The sequence below is a fragment of the Homo sapiens genome, chromosome 3 (genome assembly GCF_000001405.40).
Source record: "Homo sapiens chromosome 3, GRCh38.p14 Primary Assembly".
Lineage (NCBI taxonomy): Eukaryota > Metazoa > Chordata > Mammalia > Primates > Hominidae > Homo > Homo sapiens.
The window spans coordinates 48,788,254-48,813,451 of NC_000003.12; the positions used below are offsets into that span (position 1 = coordinate 48,788,254).

The following is a 25,198-nucleotide window of genomic DNA, read 5'->3' on the forward strand; positions in this document are numbered from 1 at the left end:
CTCTTGACCTCATGATCCGCCCACTTCGGCCTCCCAAAGTGCTGGAATTACAGGTGTGAGCCACCGTGCCCTGCCAAATTTTGTATTTTTAGTAGAGACGGGGTTTCACCATGTTGGCCAGACTGGTCTTGAATTTCTGACCTCAAATGATCTGCCTGCCTCAGTCTCCCAAAGTGCTGGGTGCTGGGATTACAGGCGTGAGCCCCCATGCCTGGCCTCATTCTTTTAATGTGTGGCCTTCAAAGTAGAGAAGAAACAGTAGAGAAGAATAGAGAAGAAACAGGAAATCTGAAGATTCTCTGTTACTATGAACTAAATGTTTATGTCACCCCAAAATTTCATGTTAAAGCCTGACTCCCAATGTGATGGTATTAGAAGGTAAGGCCTTTACATGATCATGAATGGGATTAGTTCCCCTATAAAGGAAACCCTGAGAGCTCCCTCCCTCCTTCCACCATGTGAGAACACACAGAGATGGTTATCTACGAACCAGGAAGTGGGCTCCTGATCAGACACCAAATCTGCTGGCACCTTGAGCTTGGATTTCCCAGACTCCAGAACTGTGAGAAATTTCCACTGTTTATAAACCACCCAGGTTACAGTATTTTGTTATAGCAGCCCAAATGTACTAGGACACCTATCAGGAGATAGCCCTTGTTCTTTATTTCTACCACCAAGAGAGGGAGGACAGGCCCAGGTCATAGATCCTATGCTAGGCCCTGCAGAAACACACCATTCCTAAGAAGCACTTACTACACACTGTGGTAAGCCAGTGAGTTAACTATTATCAATGAAGGGAACTACATACCAGCATCTTCAGAAAAATCAATCTCTTTGTAGGATAAATTCAGACCCTCCTAACTAAGCCAGGGTCATGCAAATCTGAGCATTTCCTTGCAACATGACAAAACCGCATGCTCTTCAAATTATCAGTATTGTCTTGGAGAAAGTGCCAAAGCAGCTCAGAAAAATACAGCAGTCCTCCCTTTATCCATGGGGAGTATGTTCCAAGGGGATATGTGGATGTCTGAAACCACAGATAGTGTTGAACCCTACTGATGTCAATTGGAACACATTTCTGTTCCACCCACAAATGTAATGCCTTTTCCATCTTAACCAAGTACTTAACACGCACTGTGGCTGTAACTTGTGCAGTCTGAGGTGCAACAGCAAAACTAGCATAAATTTCTTTTTCCTTCTTCACAGTTTCACAGATAGAAGATTCATTCTTATTCTATTTTTTTTTTTTTTTTTTTAGACAGAGTCTTGCTCTGTCACCCAGGCTGGAGTGCAATGGTGCGATCTCAGCTCACTGCAACTTCCGCCTCCTGGATTCAAGCAATTCTCCTGCCTCGGCCTCCTGAGTAGCTGGGATTACAGGTGCACACTACCACACCTGGCTAATTTTTGTATTTTTAGTAGAGACAGAATTTCACTGTTGGCCAGGCTGGTCTTGAACTCCACCCACCTCGGCCTCCCAGAGTGCTAGGATTACAGGCATGAGCCACCGCACCCAGCCAGAAGATTCATTCTTACCATAGATTTTTGCAACCTCAGCATACAATTTCTTTCTCCCTCCCTCCCTCTCTCCCTCCCTTCCTTTTGTTCCTTCCTTCCTTTCTTCCTTTTCTTTCTCTCTTCCTTTCTTTTTCTCTCCCTCTCTCCCTCTCTTTTCTTTCTTTTCTCTCTCTCTTTCTTCCTTTCTTTCCTTAAGTTTCTCTCATCTTTTCACTTAAAGGAAGAATTTTATGGCTTATTTTTGGCATATCCGAATTGCCAGCATTGCTTCTCTTGTGCTTTGGGGCCATTATTAAGTAAAATAAGGGTTACGTGAATATGAGTACTGCTATATGGTGACTAAGTGACTAATGGGCAGGTGGCATATATGGCATGAATACACGGGGACAAAGTGATGATTTGCGTTCTGGGTGGCAGTAGAGCAGGACAGCATGAGACTCATCACACTACTCGGAATGGCATGCCTTTTAAAACTTAGGAATTATTTCTGGAATTTTCCATTTAGTATTTTTGGACTGTCATTGACTATGGGTAACTGAAACCCTGGAAAGCAAAACCAAGGATAAGGGGGACTACCACACTAAAAGGCATCTGAAAGATCATGCCTGGGTTAAAGTGGTCAATACAATGAAAACATCTGTATGTAAGATGAATCTAAGGTTTTATGCTTAACACGGCTGTGGCTAGGGTGCTAAAAATTAAAGTTTAAGTGACAAATAGGAGCAAAGCTAAAAGATCATTATAATAAAAATACTTTAGAAATCAATGTTACCTGATCAAGATTTTTGAAAAGGAGAATATCTTTGCAAGCTTCCTGAAGTCTGCATCTCTGTTCATCAGTTTTAGGATGAATCACCTGCCAATCCAAATAAAACCATGGAAACTGTTTTATTCCATTTTAAAATAACCACTTAAAGATTGGTATATTTGTTTCTCCAAAAAGTGGGAAAAATAAAGAGCATGGTTTCTGTTATTTTAATTTTACATAAATATCAAGCTGCATGCTAAAGGTGGAGAGGCAATGTAATATAGGGGTGAAAAGCACCAACCCTGAAGCTACCTGCCGACTACATGGCTGGCAGCAAGTCAGCTGTTCCCTGGGAGTCTCAGGATCTTCATCCATAAAGCAGAGGGTTATAAATTTGTTCATTAAACAAATATTGAGCATCGACTCAAAAAAAAAAGAAAAAGTACATCTTTTAATCTGACCAGAAATAATAGATGTTAAAAGTGTTGGCCGGGCGAGGTGGCTCATGCCTGTAATCCCAACACTTTGGGAGGCCGAGGCAGGCAGATCACGATGTCAGGAGATCGAGACCATCTTGGCCAACGTGGTAAAACCCTGTCTTTACTAAAAATAGAAAAATTAGCTGGGCATGGTGGCGCGTGCCTGTAATCCCAGCTCCTCAGGAGGCTGAGGTAGGAGAATCGCTTGAACCATGGAGTCGGAGGTTGCAGTGAGCCAAGATTGTGCCACTGCAGTCCAGCCTAGCGACAGAGAGAGATTCCATCTTAAAAAAAAAAAAAAAAAAAAAAAAAAAAGGGCTGGGCGTGGTGGCGCACGCCTGTAATCCCAGCACTTTGGTAGGCTGAGGCAGGCGGATCACAAGGTCAGGAGTTTGAGACCAGCCTGACCAACATGGATAAACCCCATCTCTACTAAAAACACAAAATTAGCTGGGCATGGTGGCGCATGCCAGTAATCCTAGCTACTCGGGATGCTGAGGTAGGAGAATCGTCTGAACCAGGAAGTTGGAGGTTGCTGTGAGCCAAGATCGTACCACTGCACTGTAGCCTGGCGACAGAGCAAGATTCCGTCTCAAAAAAAAAAAAAAAAAAAAAAAGCTGGGCATGGTGGCTCACTCCTGTAATCCCAGGTAATCCCAGCACTTTGAGAGGCCGAGGTGGGTGGATCACGAGGTCAGGAGTTCGAAACCAGCCTGACCAACATGAAGAAACCCATCTCTACTAAAAATACAAAATTACCCGGGCATGGTGGCACATGCCTGTAATCCCAGCTACCCGAGAGGCTGAGGCAGGAGAATCGCTTGAACCCAGGAGGCAGAGGTTGTGGTGAGCCAAGATCAGGCCATTGCACTCCGGCCTGGGCAACAAGAGCGAAACTCTGTCTCAAAAAAAAAAAAAAAAAAAAAAAAAAAAAGATAGTGTTAAATATTTTTAATTTGTGATATTAAATTAGAAAAAAACTGTTTCACAGTCATCAATAATTTTACAATAACTAGAATAAAAAAATTACATGATTTTTACATTCACAAAAATGGTAGCGTTTATTAGAATACTTCAGAAATCTTTCATAAGTTACTCATTTTAAGAGTAACTTGATTTAAGGGTAACATAATAGATCACTAAAGTTTTGGTTTTTTTTTTGAGATGGAGTCTCGCTCTGTTGCCCAGGTTGGAGTGCAGTGGCGCAATTCTGGCTCACTGCAACCTCCACCTCCCAGGTTCAAGTGATTCTCCTGCCTCAGCCTCCTGAGTAGCTGGGAGTACAGGCGGGTGCCACCACGCCTGGCTAATTTTTGTATTTTCAGTAGAGATGGGGTTTCACCATATTGGTCAGGCTGGTCTCGAACTCCTGACCTCATGATCCGCCTGCCTCGGCCTCCCAAAGTGCTGGGATTACAGGTGTGAGCCACCGTGACTGGCCCACTAAAGGTTTAATCTTTTTTTTTTTTTTTTTTTTTTTTGAGATGGAGTCTCACTCTGTCACCCAGGCTGGAGTGCAGTGGCGTGATCTCAGCTCACCACAACCTCGGCCTCCCAGGTTCAAGCGATTCTCCTGCCTCAGCCTCCCAAGTAGCTGGGATTACAGGCGCCTGCCACCACACCCAGCTAATTTTTGTATTTTAGTAGAGACAAGGTTTCGCCATGTTGGCCAGGCTGGTCTCGAACTCCTGACCTCAGGTGATCCACCCGCCTCGGCCTCCCAAAGTGCTGGGATTACAGGCGTGAGTTACCACACCCAACCTATAACATCAATCTTTTAAAAATGATAGCTCATATATGCCCTCATAAAAGTAATTTATGTTGGGAGGCTGAGGCAGGAGAATCACGTGAACCCAGGAGGCGGAGGTTGCAGTGAGCCGAATTCACGTCACTGCACTCCAGCCCGGGCGACAGTGCGAGACTCTGTCTCAAAAACAAACAAACAAACAAACGTAATTTATGTCAATTGTACAGAAGTTTAAAACACTAAGTTTTTTTTTTTTTTTAAAAGCACCCAAAAATCAAACATGGTCTTGCCACAACCACTGTTAACATCTGGGGTATATCCTTCCAGACAGAATTTTCTATATATACATACATATATACAAATAAATATATATATTTCAAATTTTTTAATTTACGAAATGCTCTATAAAATACACCTCACACAAACATACATCCCATGCCATTACATACTGTCCTGTACCATCACTTTCAATGGCTACAGATTCTCTTCATTTGAATGTACCATAATTTAGGCCCTGGTAATCCCATATTTTGGGTCATTTAAGTTGTTGCCATTTTTCATTGTTATAATACTATGATAAACTCCATTTGTACATCCTCAGGAAGGATCCAACTTTCATTGGGGATAAATTCTCCTTTAGGTAAATGCTAAATCAGTTGGCCTGACTGTAAGTATTTAAGGCTTGTTGTTGTTGTCGTTGTTATTTTAACAGAAATGAGGTCTAACTACATTGCCCAGGCTAGTCTCAACTCCTGGGGTTCAACTGATCTTCCCACCTCAACCTCCCAAAGTGCTGAGATTACAGGTGTGAGCCACCATGCCCAGCATTTTTTTTTTAAGACTCAAGCAGCAATTCTCCTGCCTCAGGCTCCTAAGTAGCTGTGAATACAGGCACATGCCACCAAACCAGCTAATTTTTTTTTCCCCACAGAGATGGGGTCTTGCTATATTGTCCAGGCTGGTCTTGAACTCCTGGCCTCAAGCAATCCTCCTGCCTCAGCCTCTCAAAGTGTTCGGATTACAGGTGTGAGCCACCACGCCCAGCCTGTTTAAGGCTTCTGACAGCTACAGCTAGGCATTGCTCACATACCCTCAACCAATGCAACTTTCAATTTGTTAGATTAAAAATGTCACTTCAGTGATATTTTAATTTGTATTTAATTATTAGCATGATGAGTTTTTGGTATGTAGAGAAGGGGAGTTAATGAGAAATAGAACAATTCTACCTAACATCTTTGCTTTGGGTCTTACCCTTGGATCTGTATCTTCCTCTTCCTCATCAGGGTTATAGGTCTCAGCACAGACTAAAATTGGAGAGAAAAAAACAAAAAGAATGAATTTAACAGATGTGTGGCTTTAGGAAAAATAGGAAGTGAACTCAATTTTCTTTTATTCACTGTTTTCTTTTCTTTTTTTTTTTTTTGAGACAGAGTTTTGCTCTTGTTGCCCAGGCTGGAGTACAGTGGCACAATCTCGGCTCGCTGCAACCTCCATCTCCCAGGTTCAAGCGATTCTCTTGCCTCAGCCTCCCAGGTAGCTGGGATTACAGGCATGCACCACCATGCCTGGCTAATTTTGTATTTTTAGTAGGGATGGGGTTTCACCATGTTGGTCAGGCTGCTCTCAAACTCCTGACATCAGGTGATCCACCTGATGTATATCCACCTGATGTATAATATAAATGCTCATGCCTATAATCCCAGCACTCTGGGAGGCTGAGGCAGATGGATCATGAGGTCAAGAGATCGAGACCATCCTGGTCAACATGGTGAAACCCCATCTCTACTAAAAATACAAAAATTAGCTGGGCGTGGTGGTGTGCGCCTGTAGTCCCAGCTACTCGGGAGGCTGAGGCAGCAGAAGCGCTTGAACTTGGGAGACGGAGGTTGCAGTGAGCCGAGATCATGCCACTGCACTCCAGCCTGGTTGACACAATGAGACTCCGTCTCAAAAAAAATGAAAAGAGGGTAAGTTGTGGGAGACATAAAGGGAAAAAAAGCAAGGTGAAGAAGAGTATATATGGCATGCTATCCCTTGCAGAAGAAAGGACTTCCATGAGAAAGGAGAGCTAAGAATGGAGGGAAAATAAATATAATATACTTTTACTGGTTAATTTTTCCAAAAGGAAACAATTTGGGAAGAATAAACCGGAAAGTAATGAAATTATTTTCTAGTGTATAGAAAGAAACAGGAAAGAAGGGATAGGGAAAGGAATGAAACTTCTCTGAGGAAACTTTTTTTTTTTTTTTGAGACGGAGTCTCGCTCTGTCACCCAAGCTGGAGTGCAATGACGTGATCTCTGCTCACTGCAAGCTCCGCCTCTCAGGTTCACACCATTCTCCGGCCTCAGCCTCCAGAGTAGCTGGGACTACAGGCGCCTGCAACCATGCCAGGCTAATTTTCTTTATTTTTAGTAGAGACAGGGTTTCACCGTGTTAGCCAGGATGGTCTCGATCTCCTGACCTCAACCACCCGCCTCGGCCTCCCAAAGTGCTGGGATTACAGGCGTGAGCCACCGCGACTAGCCTGAGGAAACATTTTTATATAAAAAGTTTTGACATTTAAGTCATGTTAATTTTTCACATATTTTAAAAATTAGATAGATAAGAAGGACCCTAAAACGAAGTACAAAGAAAAAAAACCTACCCATATATCGGGGTGATAACATAATTAGAGAAGGAAAGAATCAGATTCTAAGTAGCTTCTGAACATAGTAATCTGACCATCCACCCTCAGTGGGATATACTGCATTCCAACAAAAAACAACTGATGTTGGTGATGGTATAGCAATTCCAAAACTCTTCTTTTTTTGAGAGAGTCTCGTTCCTTCGCTCAGGTTGAGGTACAGTGGCGCAATCTTGGCCCACTGCAACCTCCACCTCCCTGTTTCAAGTTATTCTCCTGCCTTAGCCTCCTTAGTAGCTAGGTCTAGAGGCATGTGCAACCACACCCAGCTAATTTTTGTAGTTTTAGTAGAGATGGAGTTTCACCATGTTGGCCAGGATGATCTCAATCTCCTGACCTTGTGATCCATCTGCCTTGGCCTCCCAAAGTGCTGGGATTACAGGCATGTGCCACCGCGCCTGACCTGTAATTCCAAAACTCTATGTGTATTACTGTAGGGAGTAAATAAACGAACACACAGATATTTTTTTTACTGGTGAGAAGGGGGATACAAATATGGACTGGAGGAAGAATTAGAAATGGAGATATCGATACAAATCATTATTTTAAAATCTCACCCCATGTGTTATTTGCAAAGAGACAATAAATTATCTACTGAATAAAGAGTTTTGTACTTACTAAGAAAACTGTTTTACCAAGAATGAACTAGTTGTGATTACTGTTTCTCAGAATGAAGCAAACCTACTGCCTCTTCACAATACAGGCCATTACAGCTGGGAAAAGTTTTCTTCTAATAAATCATCAGTGATCTGTAACAGCTGTGTGACCAGAGGTAATTTATTGCCTATGTCCACCCTTCCTCTGCATAATGGCATGAACAGTGGTGACTTCTCTCTGAAGACTGTTGTAAGGATTCAAGTAGACAGGTGTCAGGCACAGTAAGGAGGCAACTTGAACTATTACCATTATTATCTTGGTTCCATTTGTTCTGGGTTTTAGAAGAATTATTGTTATGTTGGTTCTGTTCTCTATTTCAGCTCCTTTAACAACTGTCCTTTCTTCCCAGCTAACCTCCATCACATATTTCTACCCTTACAACTTTGCTCTTTTTGCTTTCTCTACGGTTTGCCCCGCCCGCTCCCAAGACAGAGCTTCACGCTGTCACCCAGGCTGGAGTGCAGTGGTGTAATCTTGGCTCACTGCCACCTCCACCTCCCAGGTTCAAGCGATTCTCCTGCTTCAGCCTCCCAGGTAGCTGGGATTACAAGTGCTAATTTTTATATTTTTAGTAGAGACGGGGTTTTTTTTTTTTTTTTGCCATGTTGGCCAGGCTGGTCTCGAACTCCTGATCTCAAGTGATCTGCCCATCTCGGCCTCCCAAAGTGTTGAGATTACAGACGTGAGCAACCGCGCCCGGCCAACTCTTTTTATGTATTTAATTCTTGCTCATTTTTTTTTAGTTTCCTTATAATCTTATCACACTCATTTTCTATTTCATCTCAGCCAATTTTATCCTTGGCTTTTTGCTCAGAATTCATAAGTGCAATGATTTCTTATAGTTTACTGAGCATTTTGTAGTGGACCTTTCTAGTCTTCACTCCTCTTATATCCTTAACCAGCTGAGTTCACTCATAGGCCCTGTATTGTTTATTAGGATTTATTTATCATCTGTTAACAGGCAACAAACAGTTCTTGACCCTACTCTCAATCTATGTGTGATGGCTAAAAGACTCCATGTATCTACAACTACGGGACAGGCTGATACATACCACTCCCAATTTATTTATTTTTATTATTATTATTATTATATTTTTTGAGACAGAGTCTCGCTGTCTTGCCCAGGCTGTAGTGCAGTTGACATGATCTCAGCTCACTGCAAACTCTGCCTCCCAGGTTCAAGTGATTCTCCTGCCTCAGCCTCCTGAGTAACTGGGGCTACAAGTGCAAGCCACCACACCCAGCTAATTTTTATGTTTTTAGTAGAGACGGGGTTTCACCATGTTGGCCAGGCTGGTCTTGAACTCCTGACCTCAAGTGATCCACCACGCCCAGCCCCACTCCCAGTTATTTCCCAGTTTCTTAGAGACACTCACTGCAGTCCTGGTCTAGGTACACCCCAGCTTCCCTTTCCTCATCGATTCTCTAAACCAATAAAAGATCTGAGAAATGATGGCTTCCATTGTGTCCTATACCCAGGACTCTCCCATCCCTGCCTTAGCAAATAATACTCTACTTGTGTGGCCCATGCCACTTGTGCAGTAATGCCATCGATACCAAGTGCCCAACAGGGACCCTATATCCTAAAACACATAAGAGAAAAATTAGGGGGGATAGAGTTAAGAAAAGATACACCATTCTAGTCTCTGAAATAGCATTAGGTGATGCTCTGCAGAGGGCTGGCCCAGTTTCTGGCTAATGTGGGCCTTGGGTTACTGAGCCAGGAAAGTAACAATGGGATATAGGTAATGACTCACTATCTTTCTCCAAGCATTTTTGTTTCCAGGAGATGAGGCCAGGGTGCATTATCTCAGTTCTTCCCTAATGATTAAGGCAGACACCTATCTTAGTTCCTAGACATTTCTTTTTTCTTTTCTTTTTTGAGACACAGTTTTGCTCTTGTTGCCCAGTCTGGAGTGCAATGGCGTCATCTTGGCTCACCGCAACCTCTGCCTCCCAGGTTCAAACAATTCTCCTGCCTCAGCCTCCTGAGCAGGTGGGATTACAGGTGCCCGCCACCACACCCAGCTAATTTTTGTATTTTTAGTAGGGATGGAGTTTCGCCATATTGGCCAGGCTGGTCTCAAACTCCTGACCTCAGGTGATCCACTGGCCTCGGCCTCCCAAAGTGCTGGGATTACAAGTGTGAGCCACCATGCCCAGCCTCCTAGACATTTCTATTGTCACTTTTTGCATCATCTTGGGTATTCTAGTAGGAAACTGGGGAAGCTGCATCAAAGGCATCTAACCAGACACTATGTCAAACTTCAAGTTTCTTGGTTCTCTGTGCTCTTGATTAATGCCATTATCAGACTAATTTTCTAAACTAGAAATTTGGAATTAATCAGACTTTCTTCTCTCACCTCTTGTCCAATGAATACATCAAATTCTGCTTCAGAAATATTCTCATATTTGACCTTAATTCAGTGTATTCCAATTGCTACTCCTTGGTCTAAGAGTTCAAAACAACTACTTAGAATAATACATTAAAAAAAAACTTCATTTCAGGAAATAAATGGGTACATGGGTATTATACTAACTTTCTCTACTTTTGTGCATGAAATCTTCCTTTTTAATTTTTTTTTTTTTTTTTGAGAGTCTCACACTCCGTCACCCATGCTGGTATGCAGTGGCACAATCTCAGCTCACTGCAACCTAAGCCTCCCGGGTTCAGGTGATTCTCGTGCCTCAGCCTCCTGAGTAGCTGGAATTACAGGCGCACACCACCAGGCCCAGCTAATTTTTGTATTTTTAGTAGAGATGGGGTTTCATCATGTCGGCCAGGCTGGTCTCGAACTCCTGGCCTCAAGTGATCTGCCCACCTCGGTCTCCCAAAATGCTGGGATTACAGGCGTAAGCCCTCGTGTCCAGCCTCCCTTTTCTTTTGAACCCTGGACTTACCTCTCTTTGCCCTCTTCCTCTGTTCCCCTCAATCTCTTTACTTCTCCTTAGTCCTGGTCCTAAATTACTTCCTTTATTTTCTAGGAAAAAATCCATTTTACAGTACCTACTTGATTGTTGCTGCCCCAAGGGTTCTGCACATCTGGCTGCTTGCCACAGTACACAAGTTACCTGGAGAAGGTCCAGAATCTGTGTGATCCCCTACGCAACCTCAAACATTATATTGTGTGTCATGAAATACTCAAGACCTACAGGAAATGAAGATTAAAATAGCAACACAGTGGCCTGGCATGGTGGCTCACACCTGTAATCCCAATACTTTGGGAGGCCTAGATGGGAGGATCACTTTAGAAGGACATCAGTCCTATTAGATTAGGGTTCTACCCTATGACCTCATTTCACCTTCATTACCTCTTTAAAGGCTCTGTCTCAAAAATATAATCACATTGGGGTTAGGACTTCAATATATGAATTTGGGGGAAACCAAGTAGTCCACAACACTGGATTTCTAAATTATTTTAAGCAATACTTAGTAATATTTCAGCTGAAGGTAGCTATAGATGAAAAAAATATTGCATACTATGAAAGAATATAAGGACAAAAATCAGTATTTTATTATATAGTAAGCACATAAGCCTTAAAGGGCAGGGATGTCTGCTGAAGAGCACCTGCAATGCAGAAGTAGGTGACTGACATGGCACCAGGTTCTCAGTGGACTGTTCTGCTGCCTGTCACAGTCATCACTAGAGTCAAAATATTCTGTTCCTAAATGTGGCATGATGCCAATACACCCATTTCTGATTAATGTGCTTTGATGTTTCGACATGTATTTAATAAATAAAAGTTGGGCTTTTTTTGACAAAGAAGGTTTTTATTTGTTTTGTTTTTTGAGACAGAGTCTCACTCTGTTGCCCAGGCTGCAGTGCAATGGCACAGTCTTGGCTCACTGCAACCTCCACCTCCCAGGTTCAAGCAATTCTCCTGCCTCAGCCTCCCGAGTAGCTGGGATTACAGGCACCTGCCACCACACTCAGTGAATTTTTGTATTTTTAGTAGAGATAGGGTTTCACTATGTTGGTGAGGCTGGTCTTGAACTCCTGACCTTGTGATCCACCCGCCTTGGCCTCCCAAAGTGCTGGGATTACAGGCGTGAGCCACCACGTCGGCCGACAAAGGAGGTTTTTAAATTAAATAAAATCATACTAACATTTCCAACTCAAAGATAATTAATACTAATTTGGGAGGGCTGGGCACAGTGGCCCACATCTGTAATCCCAGCACTTTGGGAGGCCGAGGCGGGCAGATGACAAGGTCAGGAGTTCAAGACCAGCCTGGCCAATACGGCGAAACCCTGTCTCTACTAAAAATACAAAAATTAGCCAGGCGTGGTGGTGCATGCCTGTAGTCCCAGCTACTAGAGAGGCTGAGGCAGAAAAATCGCTTGAACCCAGGAGGTGGAGGTTGCAGTGAGCCAAGATCGTGCCACTGACTCCAGCCTGAGTAACAGAGCGAGACTCCGTCTCAAAAAAAAAAAAAACTATATACACACACACACACACACACACTAATTTGGGACTACATAAGAAAGCCGCATTTAAGGAATTCATGAACTCTTCATTTACTCTATCACTTGATGTAGAGGGACTGTTTTGCTAGAATGTAGAAATTGGAAGGCATGGCTTTTCTTTTCTTTTTTTTTTGAGACGGAGTCTTGCTCTGTCGCGCAGGCTGGAGTACAGCGGCGCAATCTCCTCGGCTCACTGCAAGCTCCACCTCCCGGGTTCACGCCATTCTCCTGCCTCAGCCTCCCGAGTAGCTGGACTACAGGCGCCCGCCACCACACCCAGCTATTTTTTTTGTATTTTTAGTAGAGACAGGGTTTCACCGTGTTAGCCAGGATGGTCTCCATCTCCCGACCTCGTGATCCACCCGCCTCAGCCTCTCAAAGTGCTGGGATTACAGGCATGAGCCACCGTGCCCAGCCAGGCACGGCTTTTCTTTTTGTTGGCTGAGGCGGACAGTCTCACTCATCGTCCAGAATGGAATGCAGTGGCGCAATCTTGGCTTACTGCAAACTGCCTCCTGGGTTCAAGTGATTCTCATGTCTCAGCCTCTCAAGTAGCTGGGATTACAGGCGTGGGCCACCACACTGGCTTAATTTTTGTATTTTTATTATTTTTTGAGACGGAATTTCGCTCTTGTTGCCTAGGCTGGAGTACAATGGCAGGATTTTGGCTCACTGCAACCTCTGCCTCCCAGGTTCAAGTGATTCTCCTGCCTCAGCCTCCCAGGTAGCTGGGATTACAGGCACCTGCCACCATACCCAGCTAAATTTTGTATTTTTAGTCAAGACGAAGCTTCACCATGTTGGCCAGGCTGGTCTTGAACTCCTGACCTCAGGTGATCCGCACACCTCAGCCTCCCGAAGTGCCGGGATTACAGGTGTGAGCCACCATGCCCAGCCAAATTTTTGTATTTTTAGTAGAGACAGGGTTTCACAATGTTGGCCAGGCTGATCTCGAACTCCTGACCTCAGGTGACCAGCCCATCTCAGCCTCCCAAAGTGCTCGGATTACAGGCATGAGCTACCATGCCCAGCTTTATTTTATTTTATTTTGTTTTATTTTGAGACTGAGTCTTGCTCTATAGCACTGGCTGGAATGCAGTGGTGCGATCTCAGCTCACTGCCACCTTCGTCTCCTGGGTTCAAGCGATTCTCCTGCCTCAGCCACGCCCAGCTAATTTTTGTATTTTTTTGTTTGTTTGAGACGGAGTTTAATACTTGTTGCCCAGGCTGGAGTGCAATGGCACAATCTCAGTTCACTATAACCTCCGTCTCCAGAGTTCAAGCGATTCTCCTGCCTCAGCCTCCCAAGAAGCTGGGATACAGGCATGTGCCAGCTAACTTTGTGTATTTATTTATTTATTTAATTTTTTTGAGACAGAGTTTCACTCTTGTCGCCCAGGCTGGAGTGCAACAGTACGATCTCGGTTCACTGCAAACTCTGCCTCCCGGGTTGAAGCGATTCTCCTGCCTCAGCCTCCTGAGTAGCTGGGATTATAGGCGCCTGCCACCACGCCCATCTATTTTTGTATTTTTAGTAGAGATGGGGTTTCACGATGTTGGCCAGGCTAGTCTCAAACTCCTGACCTCAGGTGATCCACTGTCTCGGCCTCCCAAAGTGTTGGGATTACAAGTGTGAGCCACCGCACCTGGCCAAATTTTTATTTTTAGTAGAGACAGGATTTCACCATGTTGGCCAGGCTGATCTCAAACTCCCAACCTCAAGTGATCCACTCGCCTTGGCCTCCCAAAGTGGTGGGATTACAGGCCACCTCGCCCAGCCTGAAAAAGGTGTCCTTTAAATGAAGGTCTGAAGAATGTGAGTGAGCAAACAACAAAGATAATTTTGGTGAGATACAGAAGCAAGAGTCTGATTAGATTCTTACCACTGAGTTTAAAAGGAAAAAAAAAAAAGTCTGATTAGAATAGGCTTAAGAGGCCAGGCATTCAAGGCCAGCCTGGCAAACATGGCAAAACCTTGTCTCTACTAAAAACACAAAAATTAGCCAGGCATGGTGGCGCACACCTGTAATCCCAGCTACTCAGAGGCTGAGGTACAGGAATCACTTGAACCTGGGAGGTGGAAGTCGCAGTGAGCCGAGATCACACCACTGCACTCCAGCCTGGGTGACACAGCCAGACTCAGTCTCAGAATAGAAGTAGAACAACTAGAAACAACAAATACAAACAGCTACTTCACGCGGTTTTGTTTTAAAGGTATGGAGAGAAAAAGGTTGGAGAGACAACAACAGTCAAAAAAAAGTTCATTTTTTAAGAAATAGAGCCAACGATATGTTTCTTTGCTGAAAGAATTGAGTTAAAAGATCAAAGATTATGCAGGAGAGGAGCTAACAGCTAAAAGGATGAAGGGATGGGATCTCGCACAGGTGGATACCGTAAACTCACAGGCAAGTGAAGAATATATATGGTGATGGGATTCTGGAAATTCTCTTCTGTTTTCCTATTTCCTTGGTTAAATAGAGAACAAGATCATCTGCTAAGGATGAGGAAGGAGGTATAGGAGGTTTTGAGAAGGGGAAGGTATGAAAGACTTATCTAGGAGAACAGAAGAGTGAAAAAAGCATGGAGCATGTGGCTCACACCTGTAATCCCAACACTGGGAGGCCAAGACAAGAGGATAGTTTGAAACCAGGAGTTTGAGACCAGCCTGGGCAACAAAGGGAGACCTTGTCTTTACAAAAAATAAATTAGCTGGGCATGGTGGTGCACACTTGTCGTCCCAGCTACTTGGGAGGTTGAGGCAGGAGGATCCCCTAAGCCCAAGATTTCAAGGCTGCAGTAACCTATGATTGTACCAATGCACTCTAGCCCAGCCTGGGCAATAGAAGGAGACACTGTCTTTCTTATTTATTTGTTTATTTGTTTATTTATTTAGAGTCTTGCTCTTGTCACCCAGGCTGGAGTGCAATGGCGAAAGCTCAGCTCACTGTAACCTCCGCTTCCCAGGTTCAAGCAATTCTCCTGCCTCAGCCTCCTGAGTAGCTGGGATTACAGGCACCTGCCACCACACCCAGCCAATTTTTAGTATTTTTAGTAAAGACAGGGTTTCACCATCTTGGCCAGTCTGCTCTCAAACTCCTGGCCTCAGGTGATCCACTCGCCTCAGTCTCCCAAAGTGCTGGGATTACAGGCGTGAGCCACCATGCCTGGCCTAAAATTTATTTTAAAAGGCCAGGCGCAGTGGCTTACGCTGGGAGGCCGAGGCAGGCAGATTACTTGAGGCCAGGAGTTCAAGACCCGCCTGGCCAACATGGTGAAACCTCGTTTCTACTAAAATACAAAAATTAGGCTAAAGCATGAGAATCATTTGAACTCAAGAGGTGGAGGTTGCAGTGAGCCAAGATTGTGCCACTGTACTCTAGCCTGGGCGACAAGGCAAGACTCTGTCTCAAAAAAATTTATTAAAAAAAAAGCATGAGAATATAGCATGATTGCTGGTATCAAGAGCCTACTAGAAGTTAATAATCATGAACTGAAAGTAAGATCAGTCAATAAGGCTATCTATTTTCCTCCAATCAGGTTCAGCTATTATTGGTACAGGCACGAAGTGGAGAATTGAACTTAACAAAGTCGGTTTAGCAAAGCAAATAAAAAGGGAAAAGTAAGGCCAGGTGTGGTGGCTCACACCTGTAAAACCAGCACTTTGGAAGGCCAAGCTAAGTGGATTGCTTGAGCTCAGGAATTCAAGACCAGCCTAGGCAACATGGCGAAACCCTGTCTCCACTAAAAATACAAAAATTAGCCAGGCATGGTAGCGTGCACCTGTGGTCCCAGCTACTCAGGAGGCTGAGGCAGGAGGATCACTGGAGCCTAGGAAGTTGAGGCTGCAATGAGCCGTGATCATGCCACTGCACTCTAACATGGGTACAGAGTGAGATCCTGTTTCAAAAAAAAAAATTAAAAATTTAAAAACAGGGAAAGCAAATTGAGGGTATGTGCCAGGGAGTGATTATAATCACTGACTCAGGAATTTAAGGTTAGTAAGGAAGAAGTGGGGAATAGCAAAAAGACGGCAGAATCAACAAGTTATCCAGGTCTGGGTAGGACAGCAAAGGAGGTGAGAAGACAGCAGGCAGTGGTTGCAGAATGGGACCACTCACTGAAATGACAAAGAGTTGCAATGCTTGTCATACCAGAGTATTACCATTGGGAATGAGTGGCTGAAGTAGGGTGGACAACTGGAGGACAAGATCCTTGGAGGAGAGGAGGTCAAAGAATGGAAGGCCAGACATTGGAAGAATCATCTATATGTGGAAATAAGAAGGAACAACCTGGGGATTGTTAGATGACTAAAACAAGGAGAAGCAGTGGCTGGTAAAATATAATAATGTTAAGTTTAATTTTAATTTTTTTTTTGAGATAGAATCTCACTCTGTCACCCAGGCTGGAGTACAGTGGAACGATCACAGCTCACTGCAGCATTGACCTCCCAGGCTCAAGCAATCTTCTTAACTCAGCCTCCTGAATAGCTAGGACTACATGTGTGCACCATCATGCCCAGCTATTTTTTTTTAATTTTTTGAGAGATGGGGTCTCACTGTGTTGCCCCAGCTGGTCTCAAACTCCTAGGCTCAAGCAATTCTCGCACCTCAGTCTCCCAAAGTGCTGGGATTACAGGTGTGAGCCACGATGGCCAGCCATAATGCGAAGTTTTAAGAAGCTTTCAGGGAGAAGGGAGAGAGAATGCTCTGGAAGCAGCCAAGAGAATCAATAGAGACATTCACCCATTTCCTGTCAGTGTTACAAGGAAGGTAGAAGAGGACAGAGCCATTGTTTGAGAAGCCTACAGGGCAAGCCAAGCTTCAGCTACAGCTGGAAAGTGAAAGCTGCACTGAGAGAACAGGGTGAGAATTTGGCGGATTTAGCTGAAGACTAACCAAGAGTTCCAGAGGGTGCAAGAAAGAATCTTAGAGATAGCAAGGGTGGTACTTAGGATCCATGCTACCTATGGGCATATGCTCACCTCACCTATTGCAAGTTACTTAACCTCTGCTTTGTTCCCAGTTTCCTTGTCTGTAAATTGGGGATAATCATGGTATGGGCCTCACTCAAAGTGTTATTTTGAAGATTATATTCAACAATACAAGGAAGGCATTTAGAAAGTCCTTATAACTGTGCACCTGGCACACGGTCTGCACTTAAAAAATGTTACGTATTATTAAAGGATACTTTCTCTCCTGTATCATCCTATTGAATTATTTGAAAAATCTTTTATTTTCATTTAACATTTCAATGATATGAAAAGGTTTTAAATCCTAAGATTATAAAATCTAAGGAGGAGGGATAATACCATGTACTTGTCTGAGTCTTCTACAAGGTTCAAGATTTGAACAACAATGGCAGAGGGCCAAACAAACTAACACCAACTGTGACCTCAGGAGGAGGTATCACTATAGTCTCCATCTCCCAGACCTATCCTACAGATGTCAAGGGATTTAACTAATCTTTCAGAGGAAAAAAAGGTGCAGGGCAGACATGAACAAAAATGGAAGATAATAGCTCATGGGTATCAAACTAACCTTAATCCCTACTCTCAGGATATTGACTCTCTTAACATAACATATTCTTCAACCTCCTTTCAACAGATTTTTATGTGGAATGATAAACGCTTTCTGAAAACATAAATGAGCCGATTTTCTCAAAGACAAGGATTGAGGGATAGAAAAGCAATTCCTAGCCCTATAATAGGCCAGATGACAATTTCAAATCAAGAAACCTTCCTAAAACAAGGAAATATGAAAGAACATACCATTTGCCTAGCAATTTTAAAACACATTAACATTCCACTGTACTCCCAAATAAATTCCAGAGTTATCAAAAAGTCAAACACTTTAAGAAAAACTTTCATAAAATATATTTACCAGCTCTATGGAAAAAAGGGGAGCCTTCTCAGGAACAATCATTGTTTTTTTTTTAAAAAAGATGATGTGCATATTCAATAAATATTTACTGAGTGCCTATGTGTCCAGCAGTGTTTGAGGTTATCAGTCATATATTAACATCTCTAACTCAATTAAAAAAATAGCATAACCACCTAGGGAAATTTTGCATTGAAAATTTCAAAAGGTCAAAAACTTGGATAGAAAGTTTACCCAAACTTATTTTTAAAATAATATGGACTATACCAGATAAAAGGGCAAAATATTACCAAACTAGTACCATATAAGAAAATACAAATAGATTTCTCATATTTGGAAAGCATTCTTTTTTTTTTTTGAGACAGAGTCTCACTCTGTTGCCCAGGCTGGAGTGCAGTAGCGTGATCTTGGCTCACTGAAATCTCCACCTCCTGGGTTCAAGTGATTCTCTGCCTCAGCCTCCCAAGTAGCTGGGACTACAGGGGCGCGCTACTGTGCCTGGCTAATTTTTTTGTACTTTTAGTAGAGACGGGGTTTCACCATGTTAGCCAGACTGGTCTCAAACTCCTCACCTCGTGATCCACCCGCCAAGACCTCCCAAAGTACTGGGATTATGGGTGTGAGCCACCGCGCCTGGACAGCATTCATTTTTTTAACAACCAAAAGAAATGCCATATAAAATGATGTGAAGTACTATTTTACATTTAAATTCCATATTATTAAGATAATGGTGGAAAAGAGGCAGGTACAGGGTGCCTTTCTCCCAGTAGCCTAATCTGTGGACTCTCTCTACAAAACAAGACAGAAAAAGCCAAGGCAATGCTCAGTCTCTGACCAGAGAATGCCACTTCCAGCACCAAAACTGAGGAAATAATTCAAGTGGCTCAAAAAGGTATATGTAAGAGTTAATGGCAGCATAAGCCAGAATACCAGAAAAAGGAATATGAAAAATCATTTTTTGAAGCTGTAATTATAAACATGAAAAAACAGTAATGACATAAACGCAAAGAGACAAACTGTACCAATTATAGTATAAAATACGTACATACATACTCAGAACTTAAAATAAAAACAGAATAAAGAAACCATAGGTAATTTTACTTTTAGATAATGTTCTGTGATGGGAGCTTATCTTTTTATTCAAAATATCTGTTTTTTCAATATATTCCTATCTTAAAATAACATTTTAGAAGTATGTTATGAAATAGAACACATACCTGATACTCGTCTATTAAATCTGCTAGGAACTGGAACTGCAAAATAAAGAAGCAACATTTAGTCATTATTATGTCACCAGGCCGCATTTTTATCCTCCCTTTTTGCAAAAGTCTTTTACAATAGACCTAAGCCCCTCAAAACCAAGCAGTGGGTCAGTTCATAGTCTTCCACACTCAATCACAAATAGTTGTTCAATGTGATAATATTAAGACAATATAGGAAATACAGTATTTCTTTGAAAACAAACTATACCTTCAATATATTCAACCTGGCAATTTTATTTCTGCCCACATCTATATTCCATCTAATTTGTATCATTCCAATTGAATAAGAAGTCTACCAAATTTATTGATAATGTTATGATATAAAGTAGTGAAATTTTCTTTTTTTCTTTCTTTCTTTTTTTTTTTTTTTTTGAGACGGAGTCTCGCTCTGTAGCCCAGGCTGGAATGCAGTGGCGCGATCTCGGCTCACTGCAAGCTCCGCCTCCCACGTTCACGCCATTCTCCTGCCTCAGCCTCCGGCGTAGCTGGGACTACAGGCGCCCGCCACCATGCCCGGCTATATTTTTGTATTTTTTAAGAGATGGGTTTTTTGTTTTTGTTTTGTTTTGTTTTGTTTTGAGACGGAGTCTCGCTCTGTCGCCCAGGCTGGAGTGCAGTGGTGACATCTCGGCTCACTGCAAGCTCCGCCTCCCGGCTTCATGCCATTCTCCTGCCTCAGCCTCCCCAGTAGCTGGGACTACAGGCACCCGCCACCACACCCAGCTAATGTGTTGTATTTTTAGTAGAGACGGGGTTTCACCGTGTTAGCCAGGATGGTCTCGATCTCCTGACCTCATGATCCACCCACCTTGGCCTCCCAAAGTGCTGGGATTACAGGCGTGAGCCACCGCGCCTGGCCTGTATTTTTTTAGAGATGGAGTTTCATCATGTTGGCCAGGCTGGTCTTGAACTCCTGACAGGTGATCCGCCTGCCTCAGCCTCCCAAAGTGCTGGGATTACAGGCGTGAGCCACCGTGCCTGGCCTGTTAATTTTTGTATTTTTAGTAGAGACAGGGTTTTGCCACATTGGCCAGACTGGTCATGAACTCCTGACCTCAAGTGATCCACCCACCTTGGCCTCCCAAAGTGCTGGGATTACAGGCGTGAGCCACCGCGCCTGGCCTGTATTTTTTTAGAGATGGAGTTTCATCATGTTGGCCAGGCTGGTCTTGAACTCCTGACAGGTGATCCGCCTGCCTCAGCCTCCCAAAGTGCTGGGATTACAGGCGTGAGCCACCGTGCCTGGCCTGTTAATTTTTGTATTTTTAGTAGAGACAGGGTTTTGCCACATTGGCCAGACTGGTCATGAACTCCTGACCTCAAGTGATCCACCCACCTTGGCCTCCCAAAGTGCTGGGATTACAGGTGTGAACCACCGCGCCTGGCCAAGCAGAACCATTTTGAAATGTTCCCTGTGAGTGGATCAGCAGCGGACATAGCACTTCTGTTACAATATAAAGTACCTGGAGAAAATGAGTCATTGCAAATTAGATTGTATAAAGATCACTTTGGCTATAGTTGATAGACAAAGGTAGTGGCTTAGGTTAGATGTGTGGCTTATGAACAGAAGGAAAACAAATAGATTCCAGAGATGAGAAAAAATCTATACAGTTTAGGCCAAGTACGGTGGCTTACTATTGTAATCCCAGCACTCTGGGAGGCCGAGGCGGCTGGATCATTTGAGGTCAGAAGTTCGAGACTAGCCTGGCAAACATGGTGAAACCCTGTCTCTACTAAAAATACAAAAAAAAAATTAGCTGGGCGTGGTGGCGCACTCCTGTAATCCTAGCTATTCAGGAGTCTGAGGTAGGAGAATCACTTGAACTTGGGAGGCAGAGGTTGTGGTGAGCCAAGATTGCGCCACTGCACTCCAGCCTCGGTGACAGAGCAAGACTCCATCTCAAAAAAAAAAAAAAAAAAAAAAAAAAAACTATATAGTTTAGTGACAGACTTAATGTGTCAGTGCTTGCTCTACAAATGCCAATCAAATGAAATTATATCTTTACTGCTATAAAAGACACAGTATTCAATATGGATCTCATTCAATCTATAAATAAGGGTGCTGTCATAAATTCTAAAATCATAAAATGTCAGAGTTACAGAGTATCTGTGAAGTCATCTGGTCTGGCCATGACAAGTAGGCTTCATCTCACATAGCAACTCTAGTTGAAGTCACAGATCCACCTGAGTCATTCTAGACTCCTTCCTTTCACTACTCACATCTACTTCATTAACAATTCCATCTGTTCTCCCTCCCACTTCATCTCTTAAATCAGTCTACCTACCTTGATCTCCACTATCATCCTAGTCTGAGGCACATCATTTCTTGCTTGGATGACTTGCAGTAGCCTCCAAACCTTTTTTCCCATTGCCAATCAATTCTCTTCACACTTATCAGAGTGATCTTAACATTGAGAAGGATAATTTGACAGCCTTTGTCAAAATTTTAAATGTAAACTGCCTTTAACCCAGCAACAATTCCAGTTCTAGGAATATGTTCTAAACAAAACTCACATGTGGAGAGAAATAAATGTGTGTGTGTGTGTACACACACACACACGTATAGATGAATATATACATATATTTGTGTATACAATCATCCCTCAGTATCTATGGGGAATTGGTTCCGTAGACCCCCATGGATACCAAAATCTGAAGATACTCAAAAATATAAAATAGCACAGTATCTGCATATAACCTATGCATATCTTCCTGTGTACTTTAAATCATCTCTAGATTACTTATAATACCTACTAATATGCCTATACACTACTTCATTCCTGTGGATTTAATGTAGTACTTGACACAGCAAATTCAAGTTTTGCTTTTTGGAACTTTGTGGAATTTTTTTCCTGAAAGTATTTGCATGATGGCAACACTGCACTTCAGCCTGGGCGACAGAGTAAAACTGTCTCTTAAAAAAATGTTTTTTTAATTTTTTAAATTAAAAAAATAAAAATCCACAGATGTGGTACCCACGGATACAAAGGGCTGACAGTAAATACATATATATGTATATGTGCATATGTACATACATGTGTATATGCAAACGCCATAATCATTATATTATCATATATAATATTCAAAAGGGAGAAACAAATTGCCTAGAAAAAGAAATTAAGGGAATATTGGTACAGTTATAGTACAAACCTCTATGTAGCCATTTAAATGAATGCAATGGTCCTATAAGAATTGACAAGGGGCCGGGTGCAGTGGCTCATGCTTATAATCTCAGCATTTTGGGAGGCCAAGGCAGGAGGATCATTTGAGCTCAGGAGTTTGAGACCAGCCCGCACAACATAGAAAGACCCCGTGTCTTTACAAAAAATTTAAAAATTAGTCAGGCGAGGTGGCATGCACTTGAGTCCCAGCTACTCAGGGGGCTGGGGTAGGGGATCCATTGAGCCCAGGAGGTCGAGGCTGTGATGAACCATGATTGTACCACTGCACTTCAGCCTGCGCAACAGAGGGAGACTATCTCTTAATTTTAACTTTAAAAATTAAAAAAAATGGGGCAGGTGTAGTGGCTCATGTCTGTAATCCCAGTGCTTTGGGAGGCCAAGATGGAATGATCACCAGCCTGGGCAATATAATAAGACCTCGTCTCTACAAAAACAAACAAACAAAATTAATTAGCCAGGCACAGCGGCTAATGCCTGTTGTCACAGCTACTTCAGATGCTGAGGTGGGAGGATGGCTTGAGCCTGGGAGGTCAAGGTTGCAGTGAACTGCAATCATGGCACTGCACTCTAGCCTGGGTGACAGAGCAAAAGACCCTGTCTTCAGCCATAAAAAGGAATCATTACTGACATATGCAACTTGGATGAACCCCAAAAACATTTAAATAAAAGCAGCCAGACACAAAAAAATCACATATTGTATGATTTCTTTTATATGCAATATCCAGAATAGTTAACCCATAGAGCCAACTGATGGTTGCCAGGAGATGAAAGGAGGGGAGAATGAAAAGTGATTATTTATTGGGTACAGGTTGTTCTTCTGAGGGAATGAAAAGATTCTTCAACTAGAGAGCTGCCGTGGGTGCATAACATTGTGAATGCGCTAAATGCCACAAAATTATACACTTTAAAAGATTAATTATATGTTATCCGAATTTCACCTCAATTAAAAAAAAAGGCATTATGCAAAGTAAAAAGTAAGCCAGGCTCAAAAAAGACCACATATTGAATGATTCCATTTATGTAAAATTCCCAGAGAAGTTAAAACCAGAAAAACACAAAGTAGATGAGCGGTAGGCTGGGGCTGCAGGGGGAATGGGGAGTGACTGCAAATAGACACAAAAGAGGGAACTTTTGGGGGTGAAAAATGTTCTCAAAGTGTGGTGATAGCTGTACAAGTCTGTAAGTTTACTAAAAATAAATTGTACACTTAAAATGGGTGAATTTCATGATATATAAATTATATCTCAATAAAGCTCTGAAAAAAAAAACTATTGAAAGTCCTTCAACATGAGTCATGTAAATTTTAAGTACAACGAAAATAGGAAGGAAAAGAAACAAAGAGATGCAGAAATAAGCAGGAAAAAACTAGGACATTTTTCATTCATTTAGTAAATATTTACTATATGCTAGACATTGAGATTAGGGAGGGAGCAAAACAAACCATCTGTCCTCATGGAACTTATAATCTAATTGTGACTAACAATAAAAAAGCACATCCTATAACACAATGCAGCAATGACGCAGTAGGTTCTGAGGTGTAGTAACAGGAAGAAAATAATTTACCACATCCTTTATTCATTTGGTGTTACAGGCAACTTTGAGCAGAAAAAGCTTTTTTTTTTTTTTTTCGAGACTCTCACTCTGTCGCCCAGGCTGGAGTGCAGTGGCACAATCTTGGCTCACTGCAAGCTCCGCCTCCCAGGTTCACGCCATTCTCCTGCGTCAGCCTCCTGAGTAGCTGGGACTACAGGCGCCTGCCACCACGCCTGGCTAATTTTTTGTGTTTTTAGTAGAGACGGGGTTTCACCGTGTTAGCCAGGATGGTCTCAATCTCCTGACCTTGTGATCCGCCCGCTTTGGCCTCCCAAAGTGCTGGGATTACAAGGCGTGAGCCACTGCGCCTGGCCAGAAAAAACTTTTACTACTTTATTTGATACCTTATGTTCTAATTAAACTTGAAAAAATTTAGTTCTGAAATACACGTGGATTTTTTAAACTCTGAGAACTTTGTAAACACAACTGTGTTCTACAGACAGCAAAAGCTTCTCTAAACTTGTGTTAGTCACATGGTCAAATTAGACATAATGCTCCGTACATATTGAAGCACAAAGAACTAAAGATAAGAGGCAAATAATTCTGACTGGAAAAGAATAGGAGGTACCTCTTCTAGTTTCTGGATACAGAAGACAAAAGTCCATTTGCATAGAAATTTGGGCAAGAGAGCCTTAATTCTTCCTTGGGTATAATGAAGTTGTCCGCCGGGCATAGGGGCTCACACCTGTAATCCCAGCAAGAGGACTGCTGAGACCAAGGGTTCGAGACCAACCTGGGCAAGGTGGCAAGACCCTATCTCTACCAAAAAAAAAAAAAAAAAAAAAATTAGCTGGCAGGATGGTATGCACGTGTAGTCCTAGATATTTGGGAGGCTGAGGCAGGAGGATTGCTGGAATCCAGGAGTTCGAGGTTTCAGTGAGCTATCATCAAGCCACTGCATTACAGCCTGGGCTACAGAGTAAGATCCTGTCTCTTTAAAAAAAAGGCTGGACATGGTGGCTCACGCCTGTAATCCCAGCATT

The 25,198-nt window shown here is 42.7% G+C and overlaps 1 protein-coding gene across 9 annotated transcripts in view, besides 1 other annotated feature; it reads right to left on the reverse strand.

Moving 5' to 3' along the window:
• The window catches only part of PRKAR2A (protein kinase cAMP-dependent type II regulatory subunit alpha), a 103,284-nt gene that overhangs the window by 43,663 nt on the left and 34,423 nt on the right, over positions 1 to 25,198 (reverse strand). For 8 of the 9 annotated variants that reach the window (XR_002959546.2, XM_011533942.4, XM_047448543.1 and 5 more), the window contains exons 2-4: positions 19,396 to 19,431; positions 5,744 to 5,796; positions 2,291 to 2,374 (exon numbers count right to left, since the gene is read on the reverse strand). Coding sequence is in view for 8 of the 9 variants with exons in the window: in XM_011533942.4 (XP_011532244.1) it covers positions 2,291 to 2,374; positions 5,744 to 5,796; positions 19,396 to 19,431 (173 nt within the window). In the remaining variant the exon portion in view is untranslated. The remainder of the gene's footprint in view (positions 1 to 2,290; positions 2,375 to 5,743; positions 5,797 to 19,395; positions 19,432 to 25,198) is intronic. The other variant, NM_001321989.2, reaches the window with a different exon arrangement.
• Positions 8,230 to 8,430: a silencer, noted in NCBI's record as "peak4644 fragment used in MPRA reporter construct". NCBI's record gives its function as "represses an SCP1 promoter by STARR-seq MPRAs in K562 erythroleukemia cells {active_cell/tissue: K562}" and the evidence as "EXISTENCE:reporter gene assay evidence [ECO:0000049][PMID:32103011]".